Source organism: Homo sapiens, chromosome 3, assembly GCF_000001405.40.
Source record: "Homo sapiens chromosome 3, GRCh38.p14 Primary Assembly".
Lineage (NCBI taxonomy): Eukaryota > Metazoa > Chordata > Mammalia > Primates > Hominidae > Homo > Homo sapiens.
In genome coordinates this window covers 133,591,572-133,609,288 of record NC_000003.12, presented here as the reverse complement: position 1 = coordinate 133,609,288, position 17,717 = coordinate 133,591,572, and the positions used below count along the sequence as shown (strand labels likewise).

The 17,717-nt window shown below is 39.8% G+C and overlaps 1 protein-coding gene and 1 long non-coding RNA gene across 5 annotated transcripts in view; both read left to right on the top strand.

The window, feature by feature from the left end:
- Positions 1 to 9,051, top strand: part of TOPBP1 (DNA topoisomerase II binding protein 1) — a 61,704-nt gene extending 52,653 nt beyond the window's left edge. For all 4 annotated transcript variants that reach the window (XM_047447355.1, XM_017005636.3, NM_001363889.2 and 1 more), the window contains exons 26-28: positions 327 to 416; positions 593 to 754; positions 7,896 to 9,051. In XM_047447355.1, coding sequence (XP_047303311.1) covers positions 327 to 416; positions 593 to 754; positions 7,896 to 8,039 — 396 coding nt within the window. In that variant the 3' untranslated portion in view covers positions 8,040 to 9,051. The remainder of the gene's footprint in view (positions 1 to 326; positions 417 to 592; positions 755 to 7,895) is intronic.
- A 1,160-nt stretch (positions 9,052 to 10,211) lies between these two features.
- LOC124909437 (uncharacterized) lies at positions 10,212 to 11,114 on the top strand. The gene is made up of 2 exons (XR_007096110.1): positions 10,212 to 10,733; positions 10,827 to 11,114. It is a non-coding gene; the product is annotated as an uncharacterized LOC124909437 (long non-coding RNA).
- Positions 11,115 to 17,717: the final 6,603 nt, after the last annotated feature.

Sequence of the window (17,717 nt, the reverse complement as noted above, 5' to 3'; positions counted from 1 at the left end):
CTAAGGAGCTCTGCTTGAAGCTCTTCCCTTGATTAATCAAAAGAAAAAAATACTAGAAAAGACTAAACATCAATCACACTGCTTTGTTTTAATGTTACCTAATCATTAATGGTTTTTCATTCCTCACGTATTTCTTGATGGCCTACTATGTGCCAGATACCATGGATTCACGTTTCAGTGTTCTGGCCAGAGATAATTATACTGTGGCAAAAGTAAAGTTTATAAGATTTATTGACAAAACTAAGTCTACAGATAAAATCATGCATTATCTGTATTATTTTGTTATTTTCCAAATGATTTCACCACTGATTGTTTTTTATTTGTAGGGAGCATTTAGTGGGTGGAAGGTTATTTTACATGTGGATCAGTCTCGAGAAGCAGGCTTCAAACGCCTTCTTCAGTCAGGAGGAGCAAAGGTTTGTATCAAATTAATTTACTGACCTTTTTACATGAATAATCATCTAACCAAGATTGCTATGATGAGTTCTTCATTTTCTCTACTTTTTGAAATGGTAATCCTTAAGTACACATTATACAGCTGAACTACTTTGGAATACTGGTAGATTGTGATACTACCTTGTTTTTTCATTAGGTGCTACCTGGTCATTCTGTACCTTTATTTAAAGAGGCCACACATCTTTTTTCTGACTTGAATAAACTGAAACCAGATGACTCAGGAGTTAATATAGCAGAAGCTGCTGCCCAGAACGTGTACTGCTTGAGAACAGAATACATTGCTGATTATCTCATGCAGGTTTGTGAGATTCTATCCTTGACCTCCTCATTACCAGAGATACGTTTATGTGCATAGATAAGTAACTGCACAACAAAACCTTCAGCTCATGATTAGTAGAAGATTAGTCTCCTGTTATTCTCTTCTATTCCAGCCCTTTCAGTTTTATTCTATTTGTGTTTTTTATTATAATGAACATATTATGTAAACATTTAGCTTGGAAGTTAAATATGAGAAGAGTATAAAAATCTAGGTACCTCTAAAGGCTTTAAAAATACCCTTTAAAATGTTGGAATATAAAGCAGAAATCGATTCCAGGAGTCCAAGGAGAAACATTTATCCAAAGGTCCTTTAGTTTTCTTGACTGTTTGCTTTCATGTACATTAAATACCTATGTTAGACACTGTGGTAAATTTAAGCATTTGCTATATGGTGGGCTTACTACTCTCATATTCAGAATTGGCCTGTGTTGTGTAATTTGAATGGGGTAAGAAAAATCTTCTGACACCAGAGTGCCCAAAAGGCCATCAGGAGTCAGCAGGCATGACACATAATCATAAGGATTAGATTTCATAATCATAATCTATGAAGGATTTCAACTGGGATGATACAGAAATAAGGGGAGGCCAACACTCAAAGTCAGCTTTGTGATTTTGCTGCTGTGCTTGGAGATTGCTCAGGATTTAATAGAATGCCTAAAACACAAATGTGAAGCCGTTATAGAGCAGAGGGCATACTGATTAGTATCCACGATTTTATCTAAGGTTTTCACTCAACGTGATGTTTTTGACATTCATTCAAGTTGTAGTGTATACCAGTAGTTCATTCCTTTTTATTGCTGAGTAGTATTTCTTTGTCTGAATATACCATAGTTGATTCATTTTCCTATTGATGGACCCTTGGACTCCTGGAATCAGAAATGTTCCAATAAGCACTTCCCTTGAGCATCACATAAGTGCTCGAAAGTTTAGGATTTTGTACCATTTCTAACTTTTGGATTTGAGATGCTCAATCTGTACATTATTGGTGGGAAGTGTAAAATGGTAAAAATCCCTTTGACAAAAGGCCTGGCAGCTTCTTAAAAAACGAAATATTTACTTATTCTATTACACAGCAATTCTGTCCTATTTACCCAGGAAAAATGAAAAAATATGTCCATAAAAAAGCCTGTATATTTTTAGTAGCTGTTTGTCATCTTGGTTATCATTAGTAAAGCTACTAAAAATATACAGGGATTTTTACCATTTTACACTTTCCACCAATAATATACAGATTGAGCATCCCAAATCCAAAAGTTAGAAATGGTACAAAATCGTAAACATTTCTGATTTCTGGGTTTCGGTTGCTCAACCAGTAAATATAAATATTCCAAAATCTGAAATACTTCTGATTCTAAGCACTTCAGATAAGGGATACTCAATCTGTGTAAGCCTTCTGGTTATTCCATATTTTGCCAACATTTAGTGTTGGCAGTCATTTGATTTTTAGCCATGCGGTAGGTTTATAGTGGGAGCACATTGTAATTTGTACAGAGTGTTTGTAATTTGTATTTCCCTGATGACTAATGACATCGAGCACTTTTTCTTTCATGGTCTCTTTGTTTGTTTGTTTGTTTGTTGGTGTGTGTGTGTGTATTTAATATTTTTTTCTAAAAAGTTATTGTTTTAGCTTTTATGTTTAGCTCTATGACCTATTACAAATTAATTTTTCTTAATGCTCTGAGGTATGGACTAGGGCTGGTTTTTTTCCATATAGATATCTAGGTGTTCTAGCACCATTTGTTGAACAGATTTTCCTTTCCCACAAAAGCTTTGGCATCTTGATAAAAAATCAAATGATCGTATTTTTGTGAGTCTCTATTCTGTTTCATTATCTACTTGTTGATACCTTTCCTACTGTGTCTTGATTACTGTAGCTGTACAGCAACTTTTGAAGCTAGTATTAAGACTACAATTTTAGTTGTCTTTTTCAAGGTTATTTAGCTGTTCCATGTCCTTTGCATTTCCATATGGACTTTAGACTCAGCTTGTTAGTTTCTACAAAAAAAAAAAAAAAAAAAAGGCCTAGAGTGGTTAAGATTAGGATTGCACTGACTCTATAGACCAACTTGAGGACAGTAAACATCTTTACAGTGTTGAGCATTCTATTCCATAAACCTAGAATGTCTCTATTTAGGTCTTCTTTAATTTCTCTCAGCAACATTTTGTGGTTTTTCAGTAAGGGAACTTACCTATCTTTTGTTAAATTTATTCCTATTTTGTGATGCTATTGTAAATAAAAATTTCTAGATTTACATTTAGATTTTTTTCTACAATTTGCTGCCAATCCAAAAGAATATAAATTTTGTATATTATTATTTATTTATTTTGAGGCAAGGTCTCACTCTGTTGCCCAGGCTGGAGTGCAGTGGCGTGATCTTGGCTTACTGCAACCTCTGCCTCCCAGGCCCAGGAGATCCACCTCAGCCTCCCAAGTAGCTAGGACTACAGCCATGTGCCACCATGCCCAGCTAATTTTTTTTTTGGCAAGGGGAAGGGGTAGAGATAGGGTTTCACCAGGTTGCCCAGGCTGGTCTCAAGCAATCCACCTGCCTCGGCCTCCCAAAGTACTGGGATTACAGGTGTGAGCCACTGTGCCTTGCCTGTCAGTCTTTTATACCCTATGATCTTAATAAAATTCACTTAGTACAATTAGTACCTTAGGCTTTCCTACATAAGCAATCATTTTATCTGCAAAGAGATTTGTAGATTTTCCCTTCTTTATGCCTTTTATTTCTTGTTGTCTTATGTGGCTAGGACCTCAAGTATGCTGCTGAATAGAAGTGGTGAGATTGGGCCTCCTTGTCTTTATTCCCTAGCCTAGGTGGAAAGTGTTCAATATTTCACCAGCTATAGGGTCTTCATAGATTTTTTTTTCCAGATTGAGGAAGAGTCCTTTTATTCCTAGTTTACTAAGATTTCTTTTTCATCATTAATTGGGGTTAACTTTTATAAAATGTCTTTTTCTACTTCTGTTGGAGTTGTTATAAGGTTTTTCTCTTTCCTTCTATTACTATGGGGAATTACATTTTCAAATGTTAAGTTTCATGTATCAGTCCCACTTGATCACGCCATATTAATCTTTGTATATATTGCTAGATTTAGTTGAGTAAAAATTTTTAAAATTGTTTTCAGGGTGGGATATTGGTATGTAATTCTCATTGTTTTGTAATGTTTTTGTCATCTTTTGGTATTAGCGTTTTGCTGGCATCACAAACAAGTTGGGAAGTTCTCCCTTGATTTTCTCGAAGAGTTTGTGTAAGATGCCTCTTTCTTCCTTGAATGTTTGAAGGTCTGGAGTTTTCTTTTTTTTTTTTTTGAGACACGGTCTGGCTCTGTTGCCCACACTGGAGTGCAATGGCTTGATCTCAGCTCACTGCAATCTCCACTTCCTGTGCTCAAATGATCCTTCCACCTCAGCCTCCTGGGTAGCTGGGACTACAAGCGCACGCCACCAGTCTTAGCTAATTTTTGTATTTTTGGTAGAGACGGGGTTTCACCATGCTGGGCTTAAGTGATCCCCACGGCTTCCCAAAGTCCTAGGATTATAGGCATGAGCCACCTGGACTGGAGTTTTCTTTTTTTGTATTTTTATTTTTTAGATGGAGTCTTGCTCTGTCGCCCAGCCTGGAGTGCAGTGGGGCAATATCAGCTCACTGCAACCTCCACCTCCTAGGTTCAAGTGATTCTCCTGCCTCAGTCTCCCAAGTAGCTGGGATTACAGGCATGAGCCAACACACCTGGCTAATTTTTGTATTTTTAGTAGAAACGGGGTTTTAACCATGTTGTCCAGGCTGACCTGAGGCTGACCTCAGGTGATCCGCCCACCTTGGCCTCCCAAAGTGCTGAGATTACAGGCGTGAGCCACTGCACCCGGCCTGGAGTTTTCTTTATATGTGGTTTTTTGTAACGAATTTTCTTTACTAGATACAGCGCTTTTCCTATTTTCTGTTTCATTTTATGTCAGTTTTTAATAACTGGTGTTTTTCAAATAATATATCCATTTCATCTTATCAAATTTGTTGGCATAAAGTTCTTCATAATATTCTTATTATCCTTTTAGTGTAATAAGTTTATTCCTGGCTGGGCACGGTAGCACACGCCTGTAATCTCAACAGTTTAGGAGGCTGAGGTGGGCAGATCACTTGAGGTCAGGGGTTCGAGACCAGCCTGGCCAACATAGCGAAACCCTGTCTCTACTAAAAATACAAAAAAATTAGCGGGGTGTGGTGGCGTGTGCCTGTAGTCCCAGCCACTCGGGAGGCTGAGGCAGGAGAATCGCTTGAACCTGGGAGGCAGAGGTTGCAGTGAGACGAGATCACGCCACTGCACTCCAGCTTGGGCAACAGAGCAAGACTCCGTTTCAAAATAAATAAATAAATAAATAAATAAATAAGTTTATTCCTGATATTGTCAACTTGTGTTCATTTATAACTGGCTTATTTAGGAGTCTGTTGTTTAGTTCCTAAATATAAGAGGATTTTTTTTTCTATCTTTTTAATTTGTGATTGCCCATTGAATTCCATTGTAATCACAGAAAATACTCTATAATTTTAATTCTTTTAAAGTTATTGAGACTTGTTTTATCACCCAGCTTCATCTATCTTAATGAACATATCATATATGTGAAAGATTTTATATTCTGCAGCTGTTGGGTGTTGTGTTCTAAAAATATCAAATAGGTTAATATGGTTGATAATGTTGATCAGATTTTCTGTGTATGTGGGTTTTTTTGTTTGTTTAGTTATATCAATTACTGATACTAAAATCTCCAGCTGTTTGTGGAATTGTCTGTTTTTTCTCTTTAATTTTGTCAGCTTTTACCCCATTTATTTCAAACTTTGTTGCTAGTTGTTTACCCATATATAATTTCTTTGATTTTCACATATTGATCCTTTGTTATAACACGTATCTCTGGGCTTACTCCGCCTTGAATGTACATTATCTGAGGTTAATATAGCCTTTTCCTGTTTACTCTGTGTCATGATATCTCTTTGCATGGTTTTTAATTTTAAACTTGTCTGTGTCATATATTTAAAATGGCTTTCTTGTAGATAGGATATAGTTGGGCCTTGCTTTTTTTTTCTTTGGAGTGTTTAGTCCATCATGTAATTATTGATATGATTGGATTTAGGGATGGGGTTTTTTGCTGTTTGTTTTCTATTTGTTCTTTGTCCTTGTTCTTCTTTGTCTTTCTTGGCTTTTTTTGTATTAGTTTAATATTTTTAGAATTTTATTTTATCCATTGGCCTTCTAAAGCAAAAATATATTTACCTTTTGGAGGGAGAAGTGTTTATATGTAGATTACAAATTACTTCCTGAGGCCGGGCATGGTGGCTCACGCCTGTAATCCCAGCACTTTGGGAGGCCAAGGTGGGCAGATCACCTGAGGTCAGGATTTCGAGACCAGCCTGGCCAATATGGTGAAACCGTGTCTCTACTAAAAATACAAAAATTAGCTGGGTGTCGTGGCGCACACCTGTAATCCCAGCTGCTTGGGAGGCTGAGGCAGGAGAATCACTTGAACCTGTGAGGCGGAGGCTGCAGTGAGCCAAGATCGTGCCTCTGCACTCCAGCCTAGGTGACAAGAGCGAAACTCTGTCTCAAAAAAAAAAAAAAAAAAAATGAAAAAAGGTAGATCTCTTGCATCCAAGTTGGTTCATTTGCTTCCCCTGTCCTTTATACCAGGGGTCAGTAAACTATAGCCACCTGGCCAAACCTGGCCCACTGCCTATTTTATAAATAAAGGTTTGTTGGAAAACAGCCATACTCATTCATTTATGTATTTTCTATGGCTGCTTTTGCACTATAATGGCAGAGTTAAGTAGTTTCAGCACAAATCATCTATCCCACAAAATCTAAAATGTTTCTGTCTGAGCCTTTACAGAAAGTGTGCTGACCTCTGCTTTATGCAGTAGTTGTCATATATTTTACATCTACATCTTATAGCCCCAAATAAGATTTTACTTTAAATAGGTTTTGCTTTTAACAATTCTGTGCATTTTGAGGAAACTAAAATAAAAAATGGTATTTTATAATTACCCTCATGTATACCAGTTTGAGTGTCAGTTTTCCCTGAAGATCTGAGTTTCCATCTGATAACATTTTCCTTCAGCCTGAAGAACTAACTTTAGTTTGGAGTGCAGGTTGATTGGGGATCAATTCTAGCTTTCTGTTGTATGAAATGTCTATTCTACCTTCATTGTTGAAGGACAGTTTTGCAGGATACAGAATTATAGATTGACAGGTTTTTTTCTTCTATTAAAGACTTCACTGTCTGCTGGCCTCCATTGTTTCTGTTGAGAAATCAGTGATGGTCATTTGAATTGTTCCCTTGTATTCAATGTGTCATTTTTGAGACCAGCCACCAGCCTGGGCAACACAGCAAGACCCTTATCTCCCCCTAAAAAAGAAACTCTAGGTTCTATTGTTCCTTTGCTCCTCCAAAGAGTACTGTGTTGTTTAACAGGCAGTTTACTTCATACACTGTGTTTGCGTCCCCAGCCCCCCATTTGCTTGGTTCGTTTATTCTCCAGGCTCTATGGTTGCTTTTAATATATTTTGGTCAGAATTTGTAGCTGTTATCCATGGAAGAATTGAATCAAAAGGCACTTACTTGGTATTTTGTGGTGATTCATTTTCAGGTTGCCCAGTCTGCCATATTGCTAGAAAATTAAGTTTTATTACACTTATAATAAGGAGGAAAAGATCCATTTCTATGTTGGGAAATGGTTGTGGGGGGAAAATGCAAGGGTTTTGGAGTCAGATCAGTTATGAAATTTGGCTTTGCTACCTGCTAGTTATGTGACATTGGTTGTTTTCATTTAACCTTTTTTATTTTATCTCAAAAATGGGGATTAAAAACACCGATATGAAATGTTTGTAAGATCTGAGCTAGTCCCACTCTACCTGAACCATACACGTATTTCTTTGATAAAAGGTGAGACTTTGTCCCACAGGGTCCATTTTGTTTAATTTGCTGGAACCTAGGAATGAATATGCGTTTTCCTTTAAGTTTGTCAGATTCATCCCTGAGAGGTCTGAGATTTAAAGAAAAAATCTATTACCAGATCACGTAAATGTTTGAAATCATTTTAAAAAATCACTTATTTTTCCTTTTATAGGAATCACCTCCTCATGTAGAAAATTACTGTCTACCAGAAGCTATTTCATTTATTCAGAATAATAAGGAACTTGGGACTGGATTATCACAAAAGAGGAAAGCTCCTACAGAAAAAAATAAAATCAAACGACCTAGAGTACACTAATCGCATCTACCCTTTAGTTACCAAACATTAAATGTTTTTAAAAATTGAAAGCCTGAATGTGACTGTGATAGATTTGGGTAGTAATTTAAAGATGAGTACCTGAAGAATTCTGCTTCAGAGTATAATGATGACCCTTCTTGAGTTTTGAACACCTGAAATTGTAATCACTGAAATATTAACTGTTTCTTAATAAAAAGTTACCTGAAATAACAACAAAATACAACTCCTCAGCTAGCTTGCTGTTAAACCACATTGAAGTCTGTTAAAAGATATTTATTTTTCTTGTAAATATCTGAAGCTGTAGCTTAGTGGAAATTTTAGCAAGGTAATGGATTTTGCTTTAAAATGTCTGCCTTACAAATTCATAACAACAAGATTTGTCAGTCAGCATTTATTCATGTTTTCCCTGATTTTTATCTTCTCACCATTTTACCTCTTTTAACAGGAGCCTGAGCACAAGGTTTAATGAGGAAGCTGGGGCTATAAATATGTGTGTATATATGTATATGTATGTTTGTACAAATCTCCATGATGTTTGCCAAGTTTGAATGCGCAAAACTTGGAAAATGTGACAATAAAGAATAAAAGTAGTAACTCAAATTAGTATTAAGATGTGTTTACATAGATAAATTTTTTAAAAGAGCACCCTGGCATCTGTTCTTCTGTTGAAGCAACAAAACATTTATGTAACGTAAAAAATGAATTGCAGGGGCCTGGGTGCGGTGGCTCGTGCCTGTAATCCCAGCACTTTGGGAGGCTGAGGCAGGCGGATCGTCTGAGGTCGGGAGTTTGAGACCAGCCTGACCAACATGGAGAAACCTCATCTGTACTAAAAATACAAAAAATTAGCCCAGTGTGGTGGCACATGCCTGTAATCCCAGCTACTCAGGAGGCTGAGGCAGGAGAATCGCTTGAACCCGGGAGGCGGAGGTTGCGGTGAGCTGAGATCGCGCCATTGCACTCCAGCCTGGGCAACAAGAGCGAAACTCCATCTCAAAAAAAAAAAAAAAAAGAATTGCAGGCCAGGCACGGTGGCTCATGCTTGTAATCCCACCACTTTGGGAGGCCAAGGTGGGTGGACTGCTTGAACCCAGAAGTTCAAGACCAGCCTGGACAACATGGCGAAACCCCATCTCTGCAAAAAATAGCAAAAAATTAGCCGGGCATGCTGTTTGATGCTTGTAGTCCCAGCTACTTGGGAGGCTGAGGCATGAGAATTACTTGAACTCAGGAGGCAGAGGTTGCAGTGAGCTGAAATCATGCCACTGCAACTCCAGCCTGGGTGACAGAATGAGACCCTGTCTCAAAAAAAATAAATGAATTGCTTAACATTTCTGATATTTGTTATTTAGAATATTGCCCTATTAGATTAAAACATACTGTTATTGGAACTCTGTATTGCATTAGCCTTTATTATGCTAAACCTAAACACCTAATACTACATGCGTTACCAGAATTCTCTATAAATACACCTAATTTCATTTTAAGGACAAACTAGAATCCGTTAGGAATGTAATTTTGATGTAAACCGTTCAATTCCAAATGACTTTTTGAAAGGCAGATTCAAACAGTGAAGGAGAGAGTGCTCAACTTGGACACAAAATCCCTTAAATTTTCATCAGATTTTCTTCAAAATGGAGTTGAGGGTATCCCTGCTGCTAGAGGATTGGTCCTACAGGGTTTTCAGCTTTGAGCTAGTTCACAGCTTAGGACAATACAAATTCTACACAGAGAAATAGGTAGCATTATGATGTAAACTGTCCCCCTCCCACCAAACAAAAACCACATGGGCCTGTCTTTATCAGAGCTATTTTATTTTAGCTGAATCATTTTGTAGATTGTAGTACGTTTCCCTGAATTTTATTACTCAGAATCCTTTGAAATAGGCCAGGCACAGTGGCTCACACTTGTAATCCCAGCACTTTGGGAGGCCAAGGTGGGCAGATTACTTTAGGTCAGGAGTTCGAGACCAGCCTGGCCAACATGACGAAACTCCATCTCTACTAAAAATACCAAAATTAGCCAGGTGTGCCGGCACGTGCCTGTAATCCCAGCTACATGGGAGGCTGAGGCAGGAGAATCACTTGAACCAGGAGGTGGAGGTTGCAGTGAGCCGAGATCGCACCACTGCACTCTAGCCTGGGTGACAGAGTGAGACTCCATCTCAAAAAAAAAAAAAAAAAAAATTCTTTGAAATAGTTACTTTTTAAATTACCTAATATACCACTTTCTTTTCTGCCAAAATTATGAATGGTTTTCCAGTTCAAACTTAGACACACAGTTTACCATTTAAGGCTCCAGGTCTCAGTTTCTCCTCCTAACTTTCCAGCATCTGCCCATACTCTGTATAAGCCACTTGAACTCTGGCTTTGGCTGTTAATCTGTAAATGTCCTAATGCCAGCAACAATATCCTCTTATATACAAATAATTCCAAGCATAGGTAGTCTTCTTGTTTAAAAAGGGGAGGGGGCAGAACTTGCCTTGATTAGATTAGTATGAGTTTCTTTTCTGAATGGCTACGATATTTTAATCTGTGATATTTAAATTATCACCTTATATCCCTCCACGAATTTTCCTGTGCATTAGTCTGATCTCACCAACATTCGTTAATTCAACAGGTAGGAATCCTCAACCTGTGCCTAGGATTCAGCAACAAACCACCTGGAACACATGGTCCCTTAGCACTTGAAGAGGTAGGAATCCTTACTGTAAATACAGTACTCAATTATACTCAGATTTAGTATTTACACTGTTAAGGACTGAGCTTGTCCCCCTAAAATTCACAGGTTAAAGCCTAACCTGCTATGTGACTGTAGACAGAGCCTTTATAAGGGGATTAAATGAGGTCATAAGAATGAGTCCCTAACCCACCAGGACTAGTGTCCTGGTAAGAAGAGGGAGGCACACCAGGAGTTTGCCGGCACGGAGGAAAAGCCCTGTGAGGACACGGGGAGGGCAGCTATCTGTTTACACACCAGGAAGAAATGTCTCACCAGATACCAACCCTGGCCGTCTCCTGGATTTTGGATTTCCAATCTCCAGAACTGTGAGAAAATAAATTTCTGTTTAAGCCACTCAGCTTGTGATGTTCCTTTGTGGCAGCCTGAGCAGACCAGTAACAATATTAACAGTAATAAGGTTCTTACTTTGGGGCCTGAGATGCCTGGGAATGGAACAGGCTGTTTTGTATATGAGCATTTTTAGGGTAGAGTTCATAATTCTAGAGTTTGGATCTGTGACTTTCCACCCAAAAGTCACAAACCACTGCTCTAATGCAAACCTATTATTTCACATTTACACCTCTCACCTAGAAGTGCTTTAATACAGGCTGCTTTGTATCAGGGCTTGGTTTCCTTCTGACCTTTCAAGACATAAAAATCATTACTAGCTTGAGGCCATGCAAAAATAAGCAGTGGGCCATAGTTGACTGTTCCTTATTTTCTATCCCTAAAAAGATTTTAAAATCTAGATCTGTCAACAAGCAAGGCACCCAGCTCAATTTTTTTTTTCTTTTGAGACGGAGCCTCGCTCTTGTTGCCCAGGCTGGAGTACAGTGGCATGATCTCAGCTCACTGCAACCTCTGCCTCCTGGGTTCAAGCCATGCTCCTGCCTCAGCCTCCTGAGTAGCTGGGATTACAGACGTGTGCCACCACGCCCAGCTAACTTTTCTATTTTTGTAGAGATGGGGTTTCGCCATGTTGGCCAGGCTGGTCTCAAACTTCTGACCTCAAGTGATCTGCCCGCCTCAGCCTCTCAAAGTGCTGGGATTACAGGTGTGAGCCACCGCGCCCTGCCACTCAGCTCCTTTTCTACCATCCTGAGTAGCAGTCTATGGCAGACATACTTGACAACAACTCAGGCATACCCTGGGAAGTGACCCTGTGGTCTAAGAAGAATGTATGTTTGGAGTTCCAAGTTAAGGAATCCAGGAGTGGCCAGTCCAGAGACTGACTCCTTATCATCAATGACGGATGTCCATACCCCTGCCCCATTCCTTGGAATGCAGGCTGTATAGGGGATGGTGGCCCTTTGTATTGGGTTAAGTGGAAGTTGTTAGGTAGAGGTTGCTATGTGAAAATGACATGTTAGACTGCATGCTTTTAAAAAACAGTAGCAATTTTTGGCCGGGTGCGGTGGCTCATGCCTGTAGTCCCAGCACTTTGGGAGGCCGAGGCGGGCGGATCACGAGGTCAGGAGATCGAGACCATCCTGGCTAACACGGTGAAACCCCGTCTCTACTAAGAATACACACACCCAAAAATTAGCTGGGTGTGGCGGCGTGCACCTGTAGTCCCAGCTGCTGGGGAGGCTGAGGCAGGAGAATGGTGTGAACCTGGGAGGCAGAGCTTGCACTGAGCCGAGATCGCGCCACTGCACTCCCGCCTGGGCGACAGAGCGAGACTCCGTCTCAAAAAAAAAAAAAAAAAAAAAAAAAAAAAAAAAAAAGGAGCAATTTTCCTGTCCAGCCCACTGCTCCTGGACTGTTGTGTAATGTAAGTCCACAATAAACCCTATGTCTCATTCACTGGCTCCACATCTCTTCTTCAGCCTCCCTCACGTGGTACCATCCCCACTAGAGTCAATAGCAGTCTGGCATGACAAGTAGTAGCATTAAGCAGAGCCATCTCATGCTTGTTTAACATTTGGAAATCTGCAATGAAAATTATCAAGTTTTGGCTGGGCGTGGTGGCTCACACCTGTAATCCTAGCACTTTGGGAGGCCGAGGCCGAGGTCAGGAGTTCGAGACCAGCCTGGCCAACGTGGTGAACTCTCATCTCTGGGAGAAAAATACAAAAATTAGCTGGGAGTGGTGGTGGGCGTCTGTAGTCCCAGCTACTCAGGAGGCTGAGACAGGAGAATCGCTTGAACCCGGGAGGTGGCGGTTGCAGTGAGCCGAGATTGTGCCACTGCACTCCAGCCTGGGCGACAGAGGGAGACTCCGTCTCAGAAAAAAAAAAAAAAGAACTTTCTGCTGCTTTGAGGGGAGACTGAAGAAGTCAGGCTCTAATGCATCCCTGCTGACCTTGGGATGGGAACAGGGCAAACAGCATTTTCAAGTCATTTCGAAGGAGCATTTGGTTATCATGTTCCTTCTCTACCCTTACTTAAATCTAAGGTGAAGAGTGGAAGCAAAGCCTCATGGTTAAAAACATGCTGGAGCCAAAACACCTGGGTTGGAGTCCTGGCTCTTTCATTACTAGCTATGACTCCAGCAAGCTATTTAACCTTTCAGAACCTATTTTCCCCTCTTTAAGGGGCTTTCAGGGTTAAACGAGTCAACATTTGTTACCTGTTGCCTGGCTCAAGGTTAAAAACTATACAATTTTTTAAAATTCCAGTAAGTGATTTAACACTTTTGCCAGCTGGAGCTAAGGTTTTAAAAAAAGAAGAGGATGTCAGGACAGAACAAAAGAATATAATGGGAGCTTGCAACCTCCTCTTCACTCCCATTACCATGGTGCCACTGAGGTTGGGAGTCCCTGACTTCCCTGTTTAATTCAGGTTCTAATTAAAGACATACATTTGAACTGTAAAATCAGAGAAATCCAATAAGGAAGCCATAGTAGTCCCAGCAATTTATAATAAAACCAAAGACAAACCTAAGAGATTCCAGTCTGTGCCCACACCTCATTATGAAAAGATGCTTAAGTATAACCCACATGATCTTTAAAAGGCAGGAACTGGTGAGTAAGGTGAGTCACAGACCCAGAGTGTGTAGGTGGTACAAGCTACACTTGGCCTGAGGTTCTGATTCTTAAATAGATGAGCTATATGATTCTGCGGCTGCCAAAGCTTATCTCTGGTAAGGTTAATTATGGTTGAATTCATAGTCACCAGGAAGAATAGCAGAATTCTAAAGAAACTCTTAAAACCCAGAGGTGCTATAACTGAGCAACATAATGAAAGGGCAAATTTAAAGTGGCCAGGGGTAGTGTAAGGCAGATTAACATTTACAGTGAGTAAACTCAGGAATGGTCAGATCTGCTGTCAAAAGACAAGTCAAACATCATGGAAGTATTGTTGGAGAAGGATAACGAGTAGCTACAGAAGTTACATTGATGATGAGGCAGTTATCTAAGAAATGACAGATAAGATATTAAAAATGGTCTTTATATACTGATAACTACTGAACTACAAAAATGTGTAGTTTTGTAAAAAATCAAAGAAATTTACTATTTCAGTTGACAAGTCTTTCCCTCCAACTTCAGTATCCACTTTCCCTCATTTAACAGTATCCAAAAATGCATTTAGGAATATGATAATCATTTCTGGTCTAAGCATGCAATTTAAGGGATTTCCTGCTTGAGCTAGCCCTATGGTTGTCTTCCAACTGCCTACTAGGGAAATAATTTATCATTTTTTGACATAACCCAGTGGTTCCCAGATTTTGCTGCACATTAGAACTATGGGACTTGAAAAAACATTCCTCTGCTCGGGTCACACTCCATACTAATTAATTCAGAATGTCTGGATGTGGGAGTCGGGCATCACTTTTTTTTTTTTTGAGACGGAGTCTTGATCTGTAGCCCAGGCTGGAGTGCAATGGTACCATCTCGGCTCACTGCAAGCTCCGCCTCCCGGGTTCGAGTGATTCTCCTGCCTCAGCCTCCTGAGTAGCTGGGACTACAGGCGTCCACCACCGTGCCCGGCTAATTTTTGTATTTTTAGTAGAGATGGGGTTTCACTGTGTTGGCCAGGCTGGTCTTGAACTCCTGACCTCAGGTGATCCGCCCACCTCGGCCTCCTAAAGTGCAGGGATTACAGGCGTGAGCCACCGCACCCAGCGAGTTTTTTTTTTTTTTTTTTTTTTTTAATGATTCCCAGGTTATTCCAAAATGCAGCAGTTTGAGAACCATGGACATAATCTTACAGAGTTGCTCCACTTCTTATGATTAAAATTGCGAAGGCTGGGTGCTACTCTCCATCATATTTGGAGATGAACCATTTTACAGAGGTTTCTTGGGGCATGCTTTGACTGGATCCCTGAACAGTTAGGTTGAGGGATTAAAAAGACTTTTAAAGTGGATGACTTAAATCCTACCCATCGTCTGTATTACTATATCCAATTATTTAGAATTCTAGTTCCCACTTGGGCTGCAAATTCAAAAGAATTGAACTGCCTTAATGATTACTTTTATGTATATCCTAAATTCCTGATGTGAACATAATTCCTATTTTAGATAATACAAATAAGATTATTTAAAGCAATTATTTCTAAGGCCAGGTGTGATGGCTCACACCTGTAATCCCAGCAATTTGGGAGGCCGAGGTGGGCAGATTACTTGAGGTCAGAAGTTCAAGACCAGCCTGGACAACATGGGGAAACCCTGTCTCCACTAATACAAAAAAAAAAAAAAAAAATTAGCCGGGCGTGGTGGCATGCGCCTGTAATCCCAGCTACTGGGGAGCCTGAGGCATAAGAATTGTTTGAACCTGGGAGGCAGAGGTTGTGGTGAGCTGGGATCGTGTCACTGCACTCCAGCCTGGGTGACAGAGTGAAACTGTGTCAAAAAGATAAAATAAGCAATTATTTCTTACTCAATATATCACTCATAATATTCATTATCTTTATTTCAAGCCCAGGAGAAGCAATTCATAACTTGCCTGCATTCTGCAGGCCCCATTAGTACCTAGTTGTAGTAACTGGTGAATTAAAACCATTACAAACCTGCAGTTTCAGGATGCTAGTTATTAGAACACCTGTCCATATGACTTTCTAACTTCTTGGCTCTCCTTCTGATCTGACTACCTCCATTAATTTGTTTGCACTCCCTAACTTGAAATCGTGACCTCATTTGTTCCTTTGTCAGTCTAGACACCCATAGCATGACCTGTCCTAAATTCCTACCCCACACTCTTAACCTCCTGACATCTCCACCTACGTGTACCTACCCCAGACCAATTTCACATTCTAACAGAGGGAGATAAACAACCAAAATGTTTAGTGTGCTAAATAAAGAGTAAGAACTACAAGCCAGGCATGGTGGTTCACACCTGTAATCCCAGCACTTCGCGAGGCTGAGGTAGGAGGATAACCTGAGCTCAGGAGTTTTGAGATTAGCTTGGGCAACATAGCAAGACCTCATCTCTACTAAAAATAAAAAAAGTTAGCTGGGTGTGGTGGCACGCATTTTAGTCCCAGCTACTTGAGAGGCTGAGGCGGGGAGGATCATTTGAGCCCAGGCCAAGGCTGCGGTGAACTATGATCACACTACTGCACTCCAGCCTGGGTGATGCTGTCTCAAAAACAACCACCAAAAAATCCCCCAAAAACTATGAGTCTTGGTGCTGAGCAACTGGTAGTCACATGCAGAAGAATGAAGCTGGAGCCCTAAGTCACAATAAAAAAAATTAAAATAGACCAAAGACCTAAATGAAAGAGCTAAAAACATAAAACTCTTAGAAGAAAATAGGCATAAATCTTTATGACTTGGGTTAGGCAATGTTTTCTTAGATATAACACCCAAGCACAAGCAACTAAAGAATAGAAAAGGTGGACTTCATCAAAATTGAAAATTTTGTACTCCAAAAGACACTTCTAAGAAAGGGAAAAATGGTAGGAGAAAATGTTTACAATTCATGTATCTGACAAAGAAGTAGCACCTGAAATTTAAAACACTTGCAACTCAACAATAAAATTATAAGTAAACCAATTTAGAAATTGGCAGAGGATTTGAATACACATTTTTCCAAAGACATACAGATGGCCAGTAAGCACATTTAAAGATGCTCAACATCACTAGTCATTATAGGAATGCAAAATAAAACCATAATGAGATACTTCACACCCACTCGGAAGACTAGAACCAATCTGAAACAAGTGATCACAAGGATATTGGAGAAACTGGAATCCTCTGACACTGCTGGTGGGAATAGTAATATATAATATGGTGAGGCTACTTTAGAAGAGTTTGGCAGTTCCTCAAAGTGATACAGCCTTTCATCTCTAAGTATATACCCAAGAGAATTGGAAATGTTGATACAAAAACTTGTACATGAAAGTTCATAGCAACATCATTCATAATAATGAAACAACCCCAATGTCCAACAGATGAATGTACAATTTAAACGTGGTATACCCATACAATTACCTATATTGTTTAGCAATAAAAACGAAGCACTGATACATGCTAAGCCTCAAAAACATGCTCAAAAACAAGTGTAGAAGCCAGTCTCTGAAAAACAAATTGTATAACCCTGTTTATATGAAATGACCAGAATGAGAAAATCTAGGCCGGGCACGGTGGCTCATGCAGCTGTAATCCCAGCACTTTGGGAGGCCAAAGCGGGTGGATCACCTGAGGTCTGGAGTTTGAGACCAGCCTGGCCAATATGGTGAAACCCCATCTCTATTAAAAATTCAAAAATTAGCCAGTCGTGGTGGTGGGTGCCTGTAATCCCAGCTACTCGGGGAGGCTGAGGCAGGAGAATCACTTGAATCCGGGAGGCGGAGGGTGCATTGAGCTGACAATGTGCCACTGCACTCCAGCCTGGGTGACAGCAAGACTGTCTCAAAAAAAAAAAAAAAAAAAAAACAGAAAAAAGAAACTAGAGACAATACAATAGTGGCTGCCTAGGACTGAGGAATTTGGGAGGAAAGAAGAAAATGATGACTAATAACAATAGAATTTCTTTTTGGGGTGATGAAAATGTTCAAGAATTTTAAGAGTGGTG